General features: G+C 38.7%; 1 protein-coding gene across 1 annotated transcript, besides 2 other annotated features; it reads left to right on the top strand.

Moving 5' to 3' along the window:
* Positions 7,573–7,972: a silencer, noted in NCBI's record as "silent region_5764". NCBI's record gives its function as "represses an Ori minimal core promoter by ATAC-STARR-seq in GM12878 lymphoblastoid cells {active_cell/tissue: GM12878}" and the evidence as "EXISTENCE:reporter gene assay evidence [ECO:0000049][PMID:35858748]".
* GMFB (glia maturation factor beta) lies at positions 7,655–22,150 on the top strand. Its single transcript, NM_004124.3, has 7 exons — positions 7,655–7,710; positions 12,868–12,964; positions 14,433–14,482; positions 15,177–15,226; positions 15,679–15,761; positions 16,776–16,849; positions 18,476–22,150. Exons 1-7 carry the CDS (start codon positions 7,708–7,710, stop codon positions 18,545–18,547), a joined length of 429 nt encoding a protein of 142 aa, NP_004115.1. The 5' UTR covers positions 7,655–7,707; the 3' UTR covers positions 18,548–22,150.
* Positions 12,910–12,989: an enhancer, noted in NCBI's record as "active region_8411". NCBI's record gives its function as "activates an Ori minimal core promoter by ATAC-STARR-seq in GM12878 lymphoblastoid cells {active_cell/tissue: GM12878}" and the evidence as "EXISTENCE:reporter gene assay evidence [ECO:0000049][PMID:35858748]".
* Positions 22,151–22,697: the final 547 nt, after the last annotated feature.

Genomic DNA, 22,697 nt, shown 5'->3' with positions numbered 1-22,697 from the left:
CCCATGCGTTAGCTCAGTAGCTAGGGCTTTCCCCCTTCACTAGGGGCTGCCTGGGTTCATATTCCCAGGGAATTAATCTTTTCTGGTTTGTTATTTGTGTGATCTTTGCTATTTATTGATTCTTTTCCCCTCCATAAACAACTTCTGACTTTCTGTCTTGAATTTTCCTTTCTCTAAGCTACCTTTGGGGAGATTCTAAATCATGTAAAAACCACTTGACATCTCTTTGAAGACACCTCATACACTCGTGGTTAAGTCATAGCTTTAGTTAAGGCTTATTGGTTTCACTAGGGAAAATACCTTTGCAGGGACTGGAGAAGGGGGAGTAGGGGGTGGGGGACATATACATATATATGAAAGGTTTAAAAGACAGAGGTGACCGGGCATGGTGGCTCATGCCTGTAATCCCAGCACTTTGGGAGGCCGAGGTGGGTGGATCACTTGAGGCCAGGAGTTCCAGACCAGCCTGACCAACATGGCGAAACCCCATCTCTACAAAAATACAAAAACTTAGCTGGGCGTGGTGACGTGCACCTATAATCCCAGCTACTCAGAAACTGAGGCAGGAGAATCGCTTGAGCCCAGGAGGCAGAGATTGCAGTGAACCAAGATCACGCCACTGCACTCCAGCCTGGGCAACAGAGTGAGAGACTCCTTCTCAAAAAGTATACTTATATTTTAAAATCTTTTGTTATCTGGGACAAACAGCTGACACCTCTGGCTTTTTTTTTTTTTTTTTTTGAGACAGAGTCTCACTCTGTCACCCAGGCCGGAGTGCAATGGCATGATCTCGGCTCACTGCAACCTAAGCCTCCAAGGTTCAAGTGATTCTTCTGCCTCATTTTCCTAAGTAGCTGGGACTAAAGGTGCATGCCACCATGTCCAGCTAATTTTTGTATTTTTAGTAGAGACAGGGTGTTACCATGTTGGCCAGGCTGGTCTCCAACTCCTGGGCTCAAGTGATCTGCCCGCCTGGGCTTCCCAAAGTGCTGGGATTACAGGCATCAGCCACCACATCTAGCCAAGTTTTTTGTTTTGTTTTGTTTTTAAGAGTTCTATGGTTAAAAGTCAACTAATTTTATAAGGCTTTTAGGCTTTTTTCTCTTCTTAGGTCTTGTTTTTTGGGGGAAAAAAAGTGTTTTTTTCCTTCTCAGTTGACTGAATCATTTCTCCATTTACTTCTGTCTTCTTGCCACCCTGTACGTCCACAAGAGATGACCTAAGGTAATTTCTGACAGCCTGGGACTTCTTGGGAGAAACATGGGAGGTGCCACCGACCCTGTTTTGGGAGAAAATTTTGTTGTCCTCGTGGAACCCCAAGAATTGTAAGCAGACAGTTTCCTTTTAAAATCGAAGGCTTTGCTCTGTTTTGCATTGTGTTACCTGACCTGTTTTACTTTTGGGGACATCAAAAATTATTTTGCTTTGTGAGAAAACTTTTAGCTTTTGTATGTAATAGCTAGGTAGGAAATACACTTTTAGGGATGGCTAATGACAGTTGCTTACAGTGAACAGTTATTATTACAAGGTAATACTCCTTTCTTTGCACATTTAGATGAGAAAAACAGGCTCTTGTGCACCTGGAAAGTATGAAATGTGAGATGGGCTGATTACAGAGCTCGCTGATAGGCATTTGGTTATCCAGCAGCTTCAGAAAATGTCCTTACAATGAAATACACTGTGGGCCGGGCACGGTGGCTCAGGCCTGTAATCCCAACACTTTGGGAGGCCGAGGTGGGCGGATCACTTGAGGTCAGGAGTTGACCAGCCTAGCCAACATGGTGAAACCCCGCCTCTACTAAAAATACAAAAAAATTAGCCGAGCATGGTGGCATGAGCCTGTAATCCCAGTTACTAGGGAGGCTGAGGCAGGAGAACCACTTGAACCTGGGAGGTGGAGGTTGCAGTGAGCCAAGACTGCGCCGCTGCACTCCAGCCTGGGCAACAGAGGGAGATTTTGTCTCAAAACAAACAAACAAACAAAACAAAACAAAACAAAACAAAAAACAATGAAATACATTGTGAAAGCATTACACTGTCGCATCCTGTAGTGGTTTCTTCTTTTTGAGAACCTAAAATTTGGTATAAAAATGAGCTCCTTGGCTTCTGGGGTTCTGTTCTGCCTTTCATCTGTGCCCTAATAGGTCTAAGACCTATTAGGTCTTAGAAACTGCATGCTTTCTGGGCCCTGTTCCTTAAAAGGCTCCACTCTAAATCCAGTAATCCAACTTTAAAAATTTACATCTTTAAGGAAATCTTGATGTGTAAGAATGTCTGCTTTTCCTGGCCATCTTAACTTTTAGTCAGGCCATTTTTTCTTGGTTTGAGTAAAATGTGAATTCTGTATCTTGTTTACCTGAGTTGTCTTTTGAAAAATGCAAATTTAGAGTTGCCTAGCTGACAACTGTTTAAGGCAGAAAACAGGTAATCAAGACACTGATAGTCTAAAATGGGAAAGAAAAACTTACCTGGCAAATGAAAAATGTATAACCCTACCAGACCTGCTTCTGCCTGTCTGTGTCTGTGCTTATATGCAGTGTGTGTAATGTTTATATAAAAGAGCTCTCATCAATTGGCTTGAAGAAAATTCAGTGCTTAAATAAAATATTTGGTCAAAAAAAAGCTTTAATGGATTTTAGTCCACATTATTTTAGTAATCTTTGGTACAGTTTTACAAATTATTAATAAAACATCTTCAAAATTTAGGTATTTGATCTAAATTAGGCAGGTCAGATACTGTCTTTACTAGATGCTTTAAAGTCATGATACTGTCTTTACTAGATGTTTAAAGTCATGAACTCCTCTCGCTACAGGTAGTTAGACAGGCATGGGTGGGGCAGGAGAGGGCTCTCCCCCACCCACTAGGAACTTGGAGTGATGGTTTGACAATTATCACATTGCCTCTTAAAAGTGATAAATTGGGAGCTGATGCCAGGGAGAGACTATTTCCTAATGGTCCCCACCTGTTCCACTAAAGTGTTAACCGAATGCGGGTGCCAGGGAGAAACAACTTCCTAGGCACGCCCATTAAGAGACAGAATGGCGGCCAGGCACGGTAGCTCACGCCTGTAATCCCAGCTACTCGGGAGGCTGAGGCAGAAGAATCATTTGAACCAGGCAGTCGGAGGTTGCAGTGACCTGAGATGGCGCCACTGCACTTCTGCCTGGCGACAGAGCCAGACTCCATCTCAAAAAAAAAAAAAAAAAAAGAGACAAAATGTTAAGAGTATTACTTTGGGAGGAGGGGGGACTCCCCCGGAAAAGGGAAGAAAGCCTCAGATGGGCATGTACACAACATCCTAAGCAAACCGTGTGTGCGCACTTCCCAGGGGTAAGGGGGACACTGTGGGTGTAGGCAGCCCACCCTAAGGGAAGAATCGTGGGAAAGGAGCCAGCCTGTAAAGGCCCTAGGATCAAGGTTGAACACTGCTTGGCCTTCTTCCAAGTTGTACCTACCTTCTTTTCTTTTCTTTCCTCACTGTTCTAAAGCTTTTTAATAAAATTTCACTCCTGCTCTGAAACTTGCCTCGGTTTCTACTTCTGTCTCTGCCCCTCAGTCGAATTCTTTCTTCTGGTCTTGGCCTCCCAAAGTGCTGGAACTACAGGCTTGAGCCACCTCACTTGGTCTGTTATTTTGTTTTGATCCTTTTCAAAAGGCAGTTTATAATCAGCTATAAGACTGGATACTCTTAAATATAGTTCTCTGATCACTTTGGAGAGTGGGTCATTAGAATAGAGGGAAAAACTTCCAGGGCTCTCTTGGAGAGCTAAGGTGTCAAATATCAAGAGCAGAAGTTAATTACGTGGACTGAACTAATAAAAGATTAAAACAATCATTTTATGACTTTTTGCTTGAACTGTTGCTGATCCTTTTGATTTTTGGAGTCAAGAAAACTTTTTTTTTCTTTTGAGCTTTTTACGGCTTTTAACAATTGAGTAAGGTATAATCCTGTGAACAAAAATTGAAGCATATTTCTTTTTTTTTTTTTTTTTTTGAGATGGAGTATCGCTCTGTCACCCAGGCTGGAGTGCAGTGGCACAATCTCTGCTCACTGCAAGCCCCACCTCCCAGGTTCACACCATTCTCCTGCCTCAGCCTCCCCAGTAGCTGGGACTATGGGTGCCTGCCACCACGCCCGAGCATATTTCTTTCTATCTGACTTCTCCAGAATTTGGAAACTATTCCTGAGTATTCTTAACTTATGGCAATACAGTTATTTGCATAATTATTTGCATAATTGCAATAAGAATCTGTTTCTTTGATAACAGAACACAATTGGAAACACTGGTTATTTTACCAAGGCTTTCACTGAAATGACATGCTTTCAAATATAAATAGACTAGGGAATCAAAGTTGACTTATAGAGCCCATAAGAGTCCTTTAGGAAAACTGGCCTCATAGTCTATGCAGTCCCTATACAGAGTTCCCAATCTGTGGTATGTACAGAATGTCACTTTCTTTTTATTTTTTATTATATTTATTTATTTTGAGACAGGGTCTTACTCTGTCACCCAGTCACTGCAACCTCCACCTCCCAGGCTTATGCAATTCTCCCACTTCAGCCTCCTGAGTATCTGGGACCACAGGTGCACACCACCATGCCCCACTATTTTTTTGTAATTTTTGTAGAGACAGGGTTTCACCATGTTGCCCATGCTGGTCTCGAATTCCTGGGCTCAAGTGATCTGCCCGCCTTGGCCTCCCAAAGTGCTGGGATTACAAGTGTGAGCCACTGCACTCATCCAAGAATGTCACTTTCTAACAGGCCCAGAAGCTCCAAGTTATCCTGGGATGTCCAGAGGAGAGGAATTCACCCAGTTTATACAGGTATTTGCAGCCCAGCCTGCTCAAGGCTTTAAAAAGTCTCATCTGAGATTCCTTATGGAAAAAGTTCCAACAAAGCCAATTTAAAAGATAATTATTCTTGCTGCACTTTATACACATAATAAGGCCAAGTATAATAAAACTAAAACTTATTTTACAAATTGGTCCTACCTTGATTCGTCTCTGATAAAAATGAGAGACTGGAGAGAGAAATATTATAATACACCTGCTGGTAGACTCTAGTCTTGTCTGTTGTGTTTGAGTATTTTTAAAATATTATTTTCTGCTGGGTGTGGTGGCTCATGCGTCTAATCCCAGCACTTTGGGAGGCTGAGGTGGGCAGATCACTAAGGTCAGGAGTTCAAGATCAACCTGGCCAACATGGTGAAACCCCTTCTCTACTAAAAATACAAAAAAAATTAGACAGGTATGGTGGCATACACCTGTAGTCCCAGCTACTTGGGAGGCTGAGGCATGAGAGTCGCTTGAACATGGGAAGTGGAGGCTGCAGTGAACTGAGATCAAGCCACTGCACTCCAGTCTGGGCGACAGAGTGAGACTCTGTCTCAAAAAATAAATAAAAATAAAATATTATTTTCTACAATTTGGATTTGATCTTAAAACCTTTCTGGGCTACAAGTCTCCAAAATAATGTTTTCAAATTTTTCTCCCATTTTTCTGACTTATACTCAATAGAATTCCTACTACCTTTTTTTCTGAGGCCCTGCAAGCTGAAGCTTATTTCTTGTGATACAAGCAAGAAGAACATGTCACATTGCCACTGCCTTCCTCCTCTGTAACTAAAGATGCTTTGAGTCTAACATCTGGATAGATTATACCAACCATTAACGTTTGTTTTTCTTCTGTTTCCATAGAAATGCCTCTTATTAAAAGTCTGTTGCCTTATATTTCAGACAACAGGAGACTATTCACTTAGATTCCAAATGGCATCTAATCTCTTCCTACAATCATTATTAAACTGAGCTTAAGCATTTTATTAGTTATCACTGGGTGCTATTTGGCTTTTAAAATAATTATTTGTTATATTCAATAGGGGTACAGTTGTTAAAGTTTATGTCTTCCAGGCTTCAACTATTCCAAGTCCCTTCAAGTCTGTAGAACAGTCGGTGAGAGATTTCCATGCCCCCCGGGGTTAAGCAGGGATGACAACCCTGTTCAGCAGGAAGTAGCTTTAGAAGATAAGATCTTTGGCCCTTTCTCCTTAAGAATAAGGAAGGTAAAATCTTATAAGGGGAAATGAAAAACAGTAGAAATGGGGCTTGGCTTCAGCTCACCCACACTAGAGCATTTTTTTCATGCATTTCCACTCATGACAAACCCACACCACTACCTTACTGCTAATAGTCCTTTTATTTAAAGAATTCCAATGACTGGCCTTAGGAGATAACCAAGGTTGAGAGTGTCCCACCTTGGAGAGGAATGTTGAACAATTGATTCACAGCCTTGTTGCCGCAAACCAGACCATTGGGTGGCCCATTACTCAAGACAACCCTGGCAAACAGATAATGCTGACCTGCATAAACTACCCCTAATTTGTTGTGCTCTTTTAGGAGAGTCAGTCAGGGAATTCTCTCATTCTCTTATGCTGCCTCCCTTATGCTCCGGCATAAGCTCCAATGAAGCCTTGCCTGGAGAAACTCTTTTGGCCTCAGGTCAATTTGCATTGAGAGACCAAGAACCCATGGTCATAACAAAATGAGGTACTGCCCCAGGCAGTTTGTTTTATTGAAGGTACCTGTTGAATCCTAGAGCCTAAACTTTACTTCTCCCAAACCACTTTCTTCATGCATTCAAAACTGGACTTGTTCCACTAAGTCTGCATCTGGTACAGAGACTTCTTGATGTTTACTTAGGCAGTGGCCCATAAGAGTGCTCATTGAAACACCAATCATCATTCATTCATACTTCAATAAATAACTTGTATGGAGAAAAGAGGCTGGGCATGGTGGCTGACGCCTGTGATCCCAGCGCTTTGGGAGGCACACAGGAAGACTGTTTGTGGCCAGGAGTTCAAGACCAGCTTGGGCAATATAGGGAGACTCTATCTCTACAAAAAAATTTAAAAATTAGCCGGGTGTGTGGTGGCACACGGCTGTAGTCCCAGCTACTGGGGAGGCTGAGGTAGGAGGATTGCTTGAACCCAGGAGTTTGAGGCTGCTGTGAGCTATAATCGTGCTACTGCATTCCAGCCTGGGCAACAGAGCGAGACGAGAGAGAGAGAGAAGAAATGTGTGTGTGTGAGAGAAGAGAGAAGAAATGTGTGTGTGTGTGAGAGAGAAGAAATGTGTGTAAGAGAGAGAGGGAAAGGGGGAGGGAGAGAGAGAGAAAGAGAGAGAGAGAGAGAGAGAGATTGATTAACCAAGTCCTGGAAGGCAGCCGTGGTCAGAAGTGGGGTTCTGGAGAGGGTGGGAGGAAAGGAGGTGTGCCTAGATTTGAGGGAGATCAAATTTGGAAGGTAGGCTGCGGTCAGTACACACATTTACCATTGAAAACATTGATGTCACCATTAACATGCTCTCAGAGCTTGAAGACTGCGAAAAAGGTCCGGAGAACTGGCATGACTTTTAAGTATGCACCTTGGGTTTGTTTCTCACTTGCAGCCAGGCAGAGCGTCCTCCTCTAGAGGGAGCAGGGAAAAGAAAAAAAAAAAAAAAAAAAAAAAAAAAAAAATCAGGCGATCGCATTCTGTCTAATTTTGAGCCGCGCCTTTTGCCGTCCGCCATCACGTGCCGGCCCGCTGAGGCCGCGTTGATAGGTGGGGGCGACTGGGCCAGGCGCCGGGGCAGGAAGGGAGGCGGCCGCCGTGCCATTCTTAAAGGCGCCCGAGTGTAGGCGACAGGCCGCTGACGGCCGGAAGGAAAATGGTGAGTTGCCGCTGGGAGGGCGGGGGCCGGAGGGCTGGGCGAGCCGGCCAGCCGGGTTTTCCCGGTTTCCGGAGCCGGCGGCGGCGGGCAGCGCCCAGGAGGGCTCGGCGGCCGCTTCCGCTCCCAGCAGCTGGCCAGTGCCCATAGCTAGAGTACTTGGCCTCTGCCGCCGCCACCACGCCTCAGGGCAGCATCTTCCAGCTGGGCCCGGGGTGGACCCGCCCAGCGGGCCATGGGACTAGGGTGCGGCCACGAGCAGGGGGGTTGGGGAGGCCCCACGCCAGGTCCTTCTGGTTGGAGGGCTTCAGCTTCTGAGCTGTAGGTTGGAGGGAAAGGGGTCTGCCCCATCGGAGGGCTCCCTCAATTCCTGCTTTCCCTGCCAGGGCCGTGGCCAGGTTCCAGGGGTTGGTGGGCCCCGAGCATCTTCCACCTGGCGGCGTTTTGGGGGAGGACTCGAATTCCGATTGAATTCTCTCGGCCTCACCTTAGCTTCTTTCTCTCTGCTCCTTTCCCTAGCTTCCTACAGAGGATTTCTCCTTATCTTTGCTTTCCTATGGCAGTTGGAAACCTTTCGACCCAAAGCTTTGGCACTGGGCCTTAAAGTAATTGTCAATAACTTTAGTTTTGTTGGTTCTGGGGGCTGTGGCTTCTGTTCTTACATGGGATGGACCCCAAGCATAAAAATAAAGTGGAAAATTAAATAAATCGCCATCAAGGATCTTTTGGATCCATCCCATTAGGTTTTAAAATATGGGTAAATTTCATTAGAAACAACAAAACACTGCTCTCTGTGACCATCCACTCAATTCTCAGCCCACTTTCATCGAATAGATCTTGTCATGGTCACTGAATCGAATGGATTCTTTTCAGTTTTCGTCTTCTCTGACCTTTTAGCTGCATTCCAGAGTGTTATACTCTCTTGTTTTTGAAGCATTCTCTTCCTTCATTCTTCCCCTTTGGCTTCTGGGATACAGAGCTCCTCCTACTTCTCCTATTGGTCCATCTGTTTCCCTTTCAGACTATTCTCCTTTCCCTGGACAATGCTCGAAGGAGTCCCAGGTTTCATCCTAATCCTTCATTTTCCATTCTGTATTCTTCATCCTAAACTATGGCTTCAGTTACCATCTATATTCAGATGACTTGTGAATTTACAGCTCAGAAGACCTTGCTTCTGAGATCCAATCCAGATCTGTATGTACTTTTTTTTCTTTGAGTCGGAGTTTCACTCTTGTGGCCCAGGCTGGAGTGCAATGGCGGGATCTCGGCCCATTGCAACCTCCGCCTCCCAGGTTCAAGCAGTTCTCCTGCCTCAGCCTCCCAAGTAGCTGGGATTACAGGCATGTGCCACCACGCCCGGCTAATTTTGTTTTTTTGTTTGTTTGTTTTGAGATGGAGTCTCGCTCTGTCGCGTTGGTTGGAGTGCAGTGGCGCGATCTCCGCTCACTGCAAGCTCCGCCTCCCTGGTTCACGCCGTTCGTTCTCCCGCCTCAGCCTCCCGAGTAGCTGGGACTACAGGCTCCCGCCACCACACCCGGCTAATTTTGTTTTTGTATTTTTAGTACAGACGGGGTTTCACCGTGTTAGCCAGGATGGTCTCGATCTCCTGACCTCGTGATCCACCTGCCTCGGCCTCCCAAAGTGCTGGGATTACAGGCGTGAGCCACCGCGCCCGGCCCTAATTTTGTATTTTTAGTAGAGACGGGGTTTCACCATGTTAGCCAGGATGGTCTCGATCTCCTGACCTCAAGTGATCCACCTGCCCCGGCCTCCCAAAGTGTTGAGATTACAGACGTGAGCTACCGCGCCTGACCCCAGATCTATATATTAATATTTCAATATTTAGTTACCATTCCCCTGGGAAGCTTTTCCTCCACTTGGTCTCCTCAAAGCCACCTCAGTTTGTCCAAAGTAGAACTCATGCCCTTTCTCCTCAAACCTAGTCTTCTGTCTGTTATACAAGACAATCTGTTATACCAGCCAGAAGCCTAGTATATCTGGTAACCCTTTTTTTTGCTTACTCACACCCCACCCCCACCCCCAATATCCAATCTGTCACCACCTCCTTTGTAGTGGTTAAGAGAGTGAGTTAAGATAGGCTGCCTGGGTTGAATCCTGGCTCCACTAGCTATGTAATTGGGGAAAGATACTTAACCTCTCTAAACCTTAGTTTCTTGCAAAATGGGAGTAATAATAGTATCTGTTTCGTGAGATTGTTTTGAACATAAAAGGAAATCTATGTAAAGGATATAACAGTGTTTCTCTCATAGGGTCTGATACATGTTAACTATTATTAGGACTAAATGGGAATTTTTTGCTATTGAGTTGTTTGAGATCCTTGTATATTCTGATTATTAATCCTTTGTTGAGTGGAGAATTTGCAGATATTTTCTCCCATTCTGTAGGTTGTCTCTTCACTCGTTGTTTTCTTTCCTCTCAGAAGCTTTTTAGCTTGATATGATCTCATTTGTCTATTTTGCTTTAGTTGTCTGTGCTTTTGAGGTCTTACTCAAAAAAATCTTTGCCCAGACCAATGTCCTGAAGCAATTGCCCAGTGTTTTCTTCTAGTGGTTGTATAGTTTCAGATCTTACATTTAAGTCTTTAATCCATTTTGATTTGATTTTTGTATATGCTGAGAGTTGGGGTCTGTTTGTTTTTGTTTTTTTGTTTTTGTTTTTGAGATGGAGTCTCGCTCTGTCGCCAGGCTAGAGTGCAGTGGTGCAATCTCGGCTCACTGCAACCTCAGCCTCCCGGGTTCAAGCGATTCTCCTGCCTCAGCCTCCCGAGTAGCTGGGATTACAGACGCTTGCCACCACGCCCAGCTAATTTTTGTATTTTTAGTAGAGACGGGGTTTCACCATGTTAGCCAGGCTGGTCTCGAACTCCTGACCTCATGATCCGCCCGCCTCGGCCTCCCAAAGTGCTGGGATTACAGGCGTGAGCCACTGTGCCCGGCCCGGGGTCTGGTTTTATTCTGCATATAGCTATCTGGTTTTCCCAGCACCATTTATTGGAGAGAGTGTCCTTTCCCCAGTGTATGTTTTTGGCATCATTGTCCAAAATGAGTTGGCTATAAATGTGTAGATTTACTTCTGGGTTCTCTATTCTGTTTCATTGGCCTGTGTGTGTGGTTTTATGCCAGGATCATGCTGTTTTGGTAACTATTGTTTTGTAGTATATTTTGAAGTACTGCTTTGTTCTTTTTGCTGAGGGTTGCTTTGGCTATTCACAGTCTTTTGTGGCTCCTTACAAATTTTAGGATCTTTTCTCTCTTGCTTTTAAGAATGTCATTGGTATTTTGATGGGGATTGCATTGAATCTGTAGATCACTTTGGGTTAGTATGGACATTTTAACAATATTATGTCTTGTAATCCATGAGCTTGGAATCTTTCCATTTTTGTATGTTCTCTTCAATTTCTTTCATCTGTGTTTTATAATTTTCATTGTAGAGATCTGTCACTTCTTTGGTTAAATTTATTCCTAAATTTTTTATAGCTATTGTAAGTGAGATTGCTTTCTTGATTTCTTTTTCAGATTGTTTCCTGTTGTTGTATATAAATGCTACTGATTTTTGTATGTTGATTTTGTATCCTAAACTTTACTGAAATCATTTATCAGTTCTAATAGTTTTTTTTTTAATGGAGTCTTTAGCTTTTTCTAAATATAAGATCATGTTGTCATAAACAAGGATAATTTGACTTCTTTTTTTCTAACTTGGATGTCTTTTATTTCTTTCTCTTCCCTAACTGCTCTGGCTAGGACTCCCAGTACTATGTTGAATAAAAGTGGTACAATTGGGCATCCTTGTTTTACTCCAGAACTTAGAGTAAAGGCTTTCAGTTTTTCCCCATTTAGTATGCTGTCAGCTGTGGGTTTGTCATATATGGCCTTTATTGTTTTGAGGTGTGTTCTTTCTATACCCAATTTGTTGAGGGTTTTTATCATGAAAGGATGTTGAATTTTATCAAATGTTTTTTCAGCATCTCTTGAAATGATACGATTTTTGTTATTCTGTTAATGTAATGTATCACATTTATTGATTTGCCCATGTTGAACCATTCTTACATCCCTGGGATAATCCCACTTGATCACGGTGAATGATCTTTTTAATGTGTTGTTGCATCTGGTTTTCTAGTATTTTGTTAAGGATTTTTGCATCTATGTTCATCAAGCATATTGACCTATAGTTTTTTTTTGTTGTTGTATACTTGTCTGGTTGTGGTATCAGGGTAATGCTGTTCTTGTAGAATGAGCTTGGAGGTATGTTCTCCCCTTCAATTTTTTTGAATAGTTTGAGTAGAAGTGGTGTTTTAAATCTTTGGTAGAATTCAGCAGTGAAGCCCTCAGATCCTGAGTTTTTCTTTGATGGGAGACTTTATTACTGTTTCAGTCTCATTACTCATTATTGGTTTGTTCAGGTTTTCTATTTCTTCATGGTTGAGTCTTGGTAGATTGTGTGTGTCCAAGAATTTATCCATTGCTTCCAGGTTTTCCATTTTGTTATAGTGTTCATAATAGTCTCTAATGATTCTTTGTATTTCTGTGGTATCAATCGCAATGTTTCTTTTTGTCTCTGCTTTTATTTCTTTTGCACATTCTTAGTAGCTCCTTTTTATATCTCTATAATCATTTAATTATAATATAAAATATTATTGGTCTTTACTCTTATGGGGTTTTTAACACTTTTGTTGCTTATATTTTTTTTCCCCTGTAATTGTGAGGACAAAAAATAATTTATTAATTCTAAGTATAATCAGATTATTTTCTTGTTCTTCCTTCACTGTGTAAAAATAGTATGCTTGACTCCCTTTCTAACAGCAGACAGTGATTCTTGACTTTCCCCATATTCTTCCCTTCCTCTCCAGTTCTGATGACATTGCACATTATTATGTGTGTGGTTTTTGAGACATTCATTAGCCAAAGAGAAAGTTAAAATATACCTTACATATATGAGATGAACAAATTTGTAGGATTAAGCAATGTAGATCCAAAGGTTGGTTGATTTTAAAGTTCTTTTAAGTGTTCATGTATTTAATGCTTTCACTTAATTGACATTTGTGAATGTCAGTATGCATTATAAAGGTATTAGGTTTCATAACTTTAACATGTACATATATTGAAGTCATGGCATTTTATGTGTGTTTTTTTTCTTTTATAGAGTGAGTCTTTGGTTGTTTGTGATGTTGCCGAAGATTTAGTGGAAAAGCTGAGAAAGTTTCGTTTTCGCAAAGAAACGAACAACGCTGCTATTATAAGTAAGCTAAAAGTGATTGCCTCAAAGTTACATGGTCTTAATTTGTTTTTAATCTTGTAGCTACATTGAATGAACTGAACCGTTGGAAAGCAATGTTACTTCCTCTGTTTCATTTCCCCACCACCACCTTTAGATCACTTTAAAAAATAAGTAACAGCTAATTCTAATGTCACAGAACAGAGGTGGATTGTCCCACCTCCCCCATAGTCCTTTTATCAGCTGCCTGTACAGCTCTGGAGAAGGCGGTCGTCTTGGTCCTTGGGTAATGAGGATTCCCATCTGCAGTGACCCATCCAACCCATCCTTCTTGGGGGACTAAAAATAGCCTGGCCATTCATCCTCAAATAGAAACCTTTGCCTACACCTAAAATGACAAAGTTCAGCATTGTGTACATAGTGACTTTGGGCATTATTCCAGTTGTAGATTTGAACTCTGGTTTCAGGAAGAGTACTTTTAAGTGGCACTGGCACTATCTTCTGAAAATGGAAAAAGTGATTTGCATATTGCTCCTCCCACTGTGAGCTATATCTGACATTATGCAGATTTCCCTTGTATTCATAGGCAGTATTTAATATGTAGGTAGTGATTTAGAAAGATGAGGAAAGGATGAGGGGGTGAAAATGTAAAACTCTAGAGACCATGCTTAACAGAGATGCATCTGGCAGATGTGATTTAATCAGAGGTCATGACAACTTGTCATGAATTCTGATTTCATTATAAATAAATACTGCAATGTCGACATATGGTTCTTAAAAGTGAAAAAAAAATAAAAGTGAAAATGTGTGTTAGTGCCATTTACTGCAAAAGCTGAAACTATTTGAGATTACATTATATCTCACAAGATTTACTATCAAATTGGTGCAAAACCAAACATGGTCAACTTTGCCAGACTAACAGGAAAGGATAGAGGCATAGAGTATCTAAACTTATTTTGATTTAGCTTTGGATTACATTAGATATATTTGAATGTAGATATCACTTCTATTTGGTTATTCACTTTCTTAGAATAATGATACCGTGCCATGAAATCCTGACCTTGGAGAAGCCAGGAATTTTGAGGTTTCTCTATTTTGATCCCCGATCAGGCACTTTTTCCCTTGCAGTTCTGACCATGTTGCATATAGACCAATCAGTTACAGTTACCCTTTCAGGCTTTTTCTTATTATCTAGAAGTTGGATTTGAGTTACAAAGTTCTTTCATATACACAGGAAATGTAAGAAATTAACAGCAAGTTCTAAATAAGCAAATTAGGTACTGGGAATTATGGGTAAAAGCTTTTAAAAGCTGACAGCTTGAAAAGCAAAGCTAGCTAATAAACCGTAAACTAAAACTGTGAATTAGTTATATGCTTCTGTTTCTTGATGTTTTAATTTTAGATGTCCGAAAAAAAAGGCTGAGATTGTGTGGGTTGGGCAGATCAGGGTCACATTAGAATCCCAGCTTACTCATACTTGATTTTTATTTTAGTGAAGATTGACAAGGATAAACGCCTGGTGGTACTGGATGAGGAGCTTGAGGTTTGTTCAATGAACTAAATACAATTTTATAGTTAAGTAATTATTATTTCTCAAAAGATGCTATATTAGTTACATATGCTTCTAAAACGAATCTTGAACCTCCTTTAAATACATGCTCATTATGCATAAAAGCATGTGCTAATTGTGTAGTTTGTGATATTGCTAATTTAACTACCTTGTTTAAAAGCATTAGTGAAGTCCAGTGTAATAAGTGGTATAAGTTGGGGTCATATACTGAGTAAGAAGTGAGTCAACTTTGTAACTTGCTTCTAAGTTGCTTGACTAGTACTTAAAACCTGAAACCCTACAATTTAAATATCTGGTTTGTCAAATTAAGTAACTAGAGTAAAAAGAATTCAATTCTTTTTTCTGAAATCAGACATTGTTTCTTTCCGCTAAGATACTGGCTTATGTCATTCAGTATTTCCTGACAGCTGGGACATAAGCATAGAATCTGTGCCTCCCAGCCCCATATTTACTTAATAAATGGAATGAAACCAAGTGGGCAGAAGGAGGCTTTGATTGGATTGAGAATTTAGTAACCTGAGTTTATGTATAATTTAGTAAGATAAAATTTTATTTTGTAGCATGTGGTAATAAATTTATAACTGTTAGTAGAATGGGTGCTTGGTGTATCTCTTAAGGACTTATGGGTAAGAAAATGTTTAAAAGTTGCTTTTCTCTGTGGTGCCAGGGCATTTCACCAGATGAACTTAAAGATGAACTACCTGAACGACAACCTCGATATCCTTTTCTTAGTGCTTTAAAAGATTTATTTTCTTTAGTGGTCAGACCTGTTTGTGAGCTCATTTGTTAAACATCTAAAAGTATCCTTCTGTGTCATGATGACAGCCAAATTAAAATATGTGTGCATATACTAGACTAAGAAAAATGAAAAGTTGGTTTATTCGTGGGATGAATAATTTTCTTTTTAAAACTATTTCCTTTATTATAACGTGTACAATAAAAATTGAGAAAATAATCTGTATTAAACTTGTACTTTAAAAAGTTAAATTTTTTGAGAGATTATGTGATTTTATAACTTATCCTTGGAACCCATTTAATTTTGTGGAAAGATAATAATGAAGGTGTGGCCTAAAAGAATAGGACAGAAACTTGCAGCTCAGTAGCTCCCCAGGTGTTGGTAAATACCTGTCTGAGAGCAGTAACTTTAGTTTCTTTAACTTGAGAAAAACCTTCATTGTGTATAGTTATAAATATCAACATGATGATGGAAGAGTTTCATATCCTCTGTGCTTTATTTTCTCCAGTCCTGTTGGTAAGTGAATTTCTTTAAATAACACATATTTGGCTTAGATCCAATTAAGCCATTTTATACTAGACAAATTTTCTGCTGTTTTTAAAGATGAACATTGTTGAATAACCTAAATTGAGGAGGGTCTGTGTCTATGTGTGTCCATGTGCCTGTGTGCATGCATCCCTAGAAAGAATGAAGCATCATCTCTTAGAACTTATTTTCTTAGGATAAATTTCTAGACGTGTAATTGTTGACTCAAATCATACATGTATTTTAAGGATTTTGAAACGTGATGACATTCTAATATAGCAGAAGTATTTTCTTTTTATATTTTAATCATATAAAAATGTGAACTTCACATATAATTGCATATATTTGTGTTTCTTTTAAATAGTAGTTAACAGTGATATGCTTATAATCTTGAGAATGGTCCTAGAGTAATTTACATTGGGTATTAAAATGGGTTACTGGTATTTAAGGAATTCATTATCACCAGAACTTCTATCACCACTGTTCAGGCCTGCAATAAAAACTGCATTCACTGAGCTATTCTCCAAACTTCATAATTTGTATAATTTACTTCCCACTCAAAATATACTGCAGTATATTTTTAACTTAATATATCGGCAGAGTGAAACTTTTATCAGAGCAGATCTCCCTGCCCTACTGGTCCACTACCATCCCAAAACCTTGTGTATTTTAGTCATCCATAAAATTGATCTTGATATTTAGTGTCAAAGTTAAGATAGTGCAGAAAGTTTTTAATTGTTTGCAAGGCTCTAAAAGTCAGGATCTACAAATGTCTAGAATCTTTATTTTTGCCAACCTGTAGACTTGTTCTTGTTTATTTATAACTTAACTGTCTCTTTCTGTAGGCAGTGTGCAATGTAAGACTCAAAATACAACCCATATATATTCTGTAAACTCAATAGCAAAGGAAATCCTAAATGTGTCATTTTAAAAAATAAAAATAATGATAACCCATACCTTTCTCAAAATCTGTGTCTCATTTCTACACTAATCTCTCTTTTCCAGGATGTAAGCCTGAACAACAGATGATGTATGCTGGAAGTAAGAATAAGCTAGTCCAGACAGCTGAACTAACCAAGGTGGTATTTATATTTGACTGACTTGTTGAGACAATATTTTCCTTTAGACTATAAAGCAATAGCTAAAATAGTCTAAAGGAGTATTTTTTATGCAGGTGAAGGTTATTTAGACCAGATTAGTAAGTTAGCCAAAGCTTTTTGTTAACTGGAAATAGAATGAGATAGAAGCGTTTGAACCAAAGTGTATTTTTTGAATAAGTTGATTGGAAGAAATCACATTCAAAATATAGGCAGTGTTAGAAAGCCACTGTAACTATTAAATCTATTGAGAGTTAGTTTATCTGCCATAAGGTAATTTCTAATAGATAAGGGTCAGCATTGAAGTTTCTCTGAACCCTTTACCATAGTCTAAAATGAACCGAGTTCTGTGCTGGAATTCAGTATTATGCAGTTAATTGTATTGTTTCCAAATATAAAATTGTTAAGAATATTAATAAAGTTAGAACATTCTGTTTTATATGAGAACTTGCTTTAAGATTTAACATGTCCCTATTTTATGGTATTTTTGAAAGTTAAAGGTAAGAGGTACTTGGCTCTCAAACTTTATTTAACTTCCACATATTAGTTTGAATTGAAAAAGTATATGCACTTAAGGTTTTGAAATAGGATATTATATTGCCAAAACTGTGTTAGACAGTATTTCCTTTCAAGTTTTATTTTAAGAACAGCATCAGTATTTTCCCCTTGGGTGCTTAATAATCAACTCTGGAATGCCTTTAAGTGCCCTCTGCTGTTTCCCCTTAGCCCATGTGATTGTTACCACTGCTTTATAGACATTACTTTTTCCTGATTTGTAACACAGGGACACTGGAGTTGCTCTAACGGTTTGGGTGGTTAAGAAGGAGCTGTTAACGGCCTCAAGTCTGTTCTAATCCTGGGGATGCCCTACAGTGCTGAAGTTGAGACATTACAGTTTACCAGTTACTTTTACAGATAATCTCATTGAATCCTTACAACAGCCCTGTGAGATATTCTGTAGATAGGAAAACAGACCCAGTGGATGAATGACTTGCTCAGGGTTGCATAACAGTAAATTTAGACAGAGCTAGGATTTAGCTCTGTCTAGGACTTAGGATTCACATCTGGCTCCAAATCCTATCCTTTCTGCTGTAATACATTGCTTTTCTATAGCCGTTATGCTTTCTGGGCCTGATTCAGATTCTTGCTGGAGATTTGTGGCTGATCTCCATCTCCCTCTGATATTTCCATTTGACATTCAGACTCTGGAAGACCAGCGTATGTTCCTCAGTTCCTAACTAGATTGATTTTAGTTGTGTTTACTTGGGATGTCTTCTAGGAGATAAGATTTACAGAACTGCTCTTTTAGACTATTTGTAGATTTGTGCTTTTGGGAGAGTTTTGGTTTCATGTTGTCTTGATTGCTGTACTTTGGTAACTGAGTACTTAGCATTTAAAAGAAGTGAAGTTCTACCTAAAAGGTATATCTCATTTACACAGGTTAAGTCATGAACAATATGAAAGGAAGCAGAATTTGGTATTTAATACTCAAATATATAACCAAAAATAGTTTGGTGTATAATACTCAAATATATTTTAAAAAATTCAAATATTTGACTTTTTTTTTGGAGTGTCAAAGTATGACCCAAGTTTTTTTTTTTTTTAAAGGTATTTGAAATAAGAAATACCGAAGACCTAACTGAAGAATGGTTACGTGAGAAACTTGGATTTTTTCACTAATGTGAACTTCTGTGTTTCTAAAGTATTTATGTATTAACCTGACCATACTGGAATCAGACATAAATACTTATTTATGCCTAAAAATGCACTGTTACTTACAGTTTGTTTCCTGCAGTAAAGAAAAATTCTTCATTTGTGCAAAATTTGAACAAAGAGGAAATCATCTTCATAGTAATGAAACTTTGTAAAGTGTTTCCTTATATTGGTAATTGTTAGGTGGACTACTTTTCTCCAGGGACTTTTTGCACTCTTGTGACTAATTTCTATAACTTATGGTTCGGAATTTGTTACTATTTACAGACACCATTGGAAAGTGGATATATTAGATTGTGAGAGACAACAGTTGCCTCCTTTTGACAAATACTGGATATTAGCAGTTTATTTATGAAAATAGCGTATTATCACTTGTCAAATCATTGAAATTCATTTGGGGTCAAAGACTTGAGTGACCCAGTATTGAGCCATGAATAATTTAGTGTAACCTGTATTACAAGTACATTGATGAATTCTGTATCTTCTTTGGTTTCCTGTATCTTTTTAATCAAGTCTAGAAACTATGTTCATCAGTCACTCATTTTTAAGGTCGGGAGTTAGATTTTATGATAGAATTATGACTGTTAGCTTTTCTCCTTATAGCATCTTAGTCTTAGAAATTGGTGGGTTGTAATAATCAAGGGCTTCATTCCTTTTATGTCATTTCTAGACAGTTTTGAATCTAGGTTAATAACACTTTATTTATAAAGCACCTCAATGTCCTGTGAACACTAATTATTTTAAATGTGTTAATACTGTGCCTTTGATTTGTTAGCTTTAAAGTTAGTTTAAGACTTTTACACTGCCAGTATTCCACATTTGGTGAAATTAATACTTTTTTAAAGGGTCCAAATAAAATAATTTTCTAATGTGTATATCTGAAATTTGTAATAAAATCAACTTCATATTTTAAAAATTCCAACTATCTGCTTGCATTGGTGAATATATGGCAGTCGAGAGTTATAATTTTGGGTATACTTGTGGTTAGTTTTGTGCCATAGGAAAAAATTATCTTAAAACTTTGGCCATAGTTAATAACATTAACACTTCAATAGCAATCACATCTTATATCCTAAATGTCAGAAGATATTCTGAACTGGATGCCTGAATAGTTAACTAAACCAGTCTTGTTAGATGATGGTACTCTTGGCATAAAGCGAGGATTCTGATATTTGGCATACTTGTAAAAACAAATACATAAGTAACCATTGAACATTAATTTGATAATAGGTCTAGAGACTCTAAAAACTAACCAAACTTGGTGAGTGTATTCTTATATTAAGAATATCTTAGTCATCTCAAAACTAGCAAAATTTAAATTTTGGCATGTTTTCCATTCATATGTTCTTTGCATTTTATTTTTGAGGTTTCTGTGAGAAGTAAAGATAGTTGGAATTTTTGCGATATTGAATAGAACATCTTCTGTTCCCAACACTGTTTGGCTTCACTAATTTAGAAGTCAGGAAGCAATAGAAAGTTGGAGATGAGGAAGTGCTAGAGTAGGTGTTTGTTTTGGTTCTTGGAGGGAAAAGATTCTTTATTCCAATTTCCAGAGAGAAGAGAAAACTCACCCAGGAAGTTTAAAAATTCTTTAAACAGGTATTTTGATATTGGAGAATAACATGCATATAATTCTGTAGGAATGCACATGTAATCCAAGTGAGTGGAGAGTGTTTTTAATGTTTTTGAATGAAGGAAATGAGGTTTTGTTTCACCTGTTTTGCAGCAGTAAGAGAAACTAGTGCTGCAAGAATGTATTTTTTAATGAAGTTCCTTATTTTGTCTTGCATGTTTTAGTTTTGCTTATTTTTAAATTTGGAGGTCCTCCATAATGTCAGATAATATTGACCTGCCATACGTTAGCACTCTTAGTTCCGCTACTGTCTTTAACAGGAGCAAAGAGCTGTGATAAACCATGCTTTTTTGAGCTTGTCTGACTCCTAATTAATAACATGTTTTTGGCAAGACAACAGATTGAGGTTAGAGGATCAGTAGGACATTTTTATTCCATCTGTCCTATGGGGAAATTTACAAATCCCGTGCTCTAAAATGTTCTCAAACATTTATATAGATTTCCCTTTCATCTTACTAAATTTTGCATTGTTCTTTTCAAGTATGTTTCGTATTTACTGTCTTTTTTTCTGCCATTTCCCAAATAATAACTCCAGATTTCATAATTCCAGTTTTTACATTCCGTTATCTTTCTGGTACAACCATTCCCATTCAGCCTTAAATCTGAGTCCTTTTTAGCAGCAACTTTTTTCCTGGGATCCTCCTTCGTGGTCTTCTAAGTCAGTGTTAGTTTTGAAATTTTTGGCCCTGCATAAGTTCTGCATAGCATCTAATGTCAAAATAGAACCAACTGGTAATCACAGTATTATTTAGTGTGGTTTCCATGACAACAAAAATACATACGAAGAAAACTTCTCAGGTTACTATGCTGAAATTCCAAAATGTCTGAGTTTTGAATAGTGATCACTTTGTTCTGGTATTGACGCAATTATATTAGGAAAAAAGTTGGTTGACTGTTTTTGTTTAATTGACTTCTAAAATGTTCAAATTGTCTAGTTCTAAAAGTTTACTAAATGCCTAGTGCAGTTAAACATACTCTTGTTTAAGTGTGTGTTGCTAAATTTTTTACTGTCATTACTAAATAATCTGTGTGGCAAAATGTGTGTCAGCACTTTTCCCTCCTTTTTTATCTCCTATTTTCAGGAGTCAAATGTAGCCATAAACTGTATCCTTGTCTGACACTTTAGCTAAAAATTTCCAGTTAGGGGAGTTTATTGCCAAATTAAATTTGGCTGTTCCCCCCAACCCATATAGATATTAAGGAAGGTGTACTTAAAAAATGTTTGGACTGCTTTTAAAACCTGAGCAATGTCATTAATCCATATGTGGACTAGTGATGAATAGATATTTTCATAAGAGTTTAAATGCTGATATTTGGTGGAAGTAGAGAGTAACTCATATTCTATCAATTCAAGTATTCTTACTATGGTTGCTTTCCCTATTTGTTCAATAGACTGATAATACTGGAATTTATAGAGTTTGAGCCATTACAACTTTTGTGAGGATGTGTTTCAAACATTTCTGGACAAATCTTATTTTGTATTTCTGGAAGAATGTAGTAATCTTCTAGACCGCTTAAAACCAATGCTCCCAAGCTGAATATTCTTGAGAAATTTGTTTTTATTATGCCATTTGACATTTCAAATCAGTGCTCATATACAGTAAACTTGTGATAGAAATTGTATTTTATTGCTTTTTGGATTATAATTCATATAAATATAATTACTTGAATATTGTTTGAGATCATTAACATGCCAGGGCAGTTCCCACTGATTTAGATGGTCCAAGATAATCTCATTCAGGAGGCTTGAAACATTAATGGTTTAGTCTTGTGAATTTTAACAGTTCTCTGTCATCGTTTAACAAAACCAACAACTGACACAACTCCTTAAGCTGTGGTTTCAGTCTCTGCTAGTTCATATTGCATGTTTATTTTGGACAGTCTTTTGTTAAGCATGGTGCTTGTACTGGTTTAAATAAAATGTTAACATTAAAAGACTTCCAGCTTTTCTTTTTTTACTCACCTCTTTCCCCCTTTGGAGTTACTGGTATGTACCTGGCTAGATTTGTGTGAGCCATAAACTTTATCTGGACAAACTGAGAGGCAAAATAAACAAGTCATTTGGCAGCTTGGTGGAAGGAGAAGATAATCAAGTTATAAAAATTTCTAAAACTTGGTCTGATGCTAAAATGTAGAAAATGTCAGTAAACAGTAGTAGGGACAGACAGAGCTATTTCAAACAATGAACGCTTGCTTTCAAAGGGAGAATTCGAAGTTAGGAGAGCTGTATACTTCGTAAGAAATCAAATTGAAGGTTTTTTTAATTGAATATAGCTTATCACTATGTATTAAACACCCATTGACAACCCGTCCTACCTTTATTACCAACTGTACTATATGGTATATGTTCAATAGGTATCTACTGAATGAATACAAATCACTAATAACATAGTTTTTAGAGTTTGCCATGTACTTGTGATTGTGTATGTTGTAATAGTCACAATTTGTTATGATGGTGAAAGGAGTAGTTTATGCCTTCCTGTC

Source organism: Homo sapiens, chromosome 14, assembly GCF_000001405.40.
Source record: "Homo sapiens chromosome 14, GRCh38.p14 Primary Assembly".
NCBI classification, from domain to species: domain Eukaryota; kingdom Metazoa; phylum Chordata; class Mammalia; order Primates; family Hominidae; genus Homo; species Homo sapiens.
Note: the sequence above shows the minus strand (reverse complement) of the source record. Positions and strands in the feature narration are given on the sequence as shown.

Excerpts from the sequence above, each read along its gene's own strand:
- GMFB (NM_004124.3), top strand. Across the intron at positions 15,762-16,775 it reads TATTTTCTCCAGTCCTGTTG|GATGTAAGCCTGAACAACAG; the intron begins GTAAGTGAATTT and ends TCTCTTTTCCAG. Across the intron at positions 16,850-18,475 it reads AGACAGCTGAACTAACCAAG|GTATTTGAAATAAGAAATAC; the intron begins GTGGTATTTATA and ends TTTTTTTTAAAG.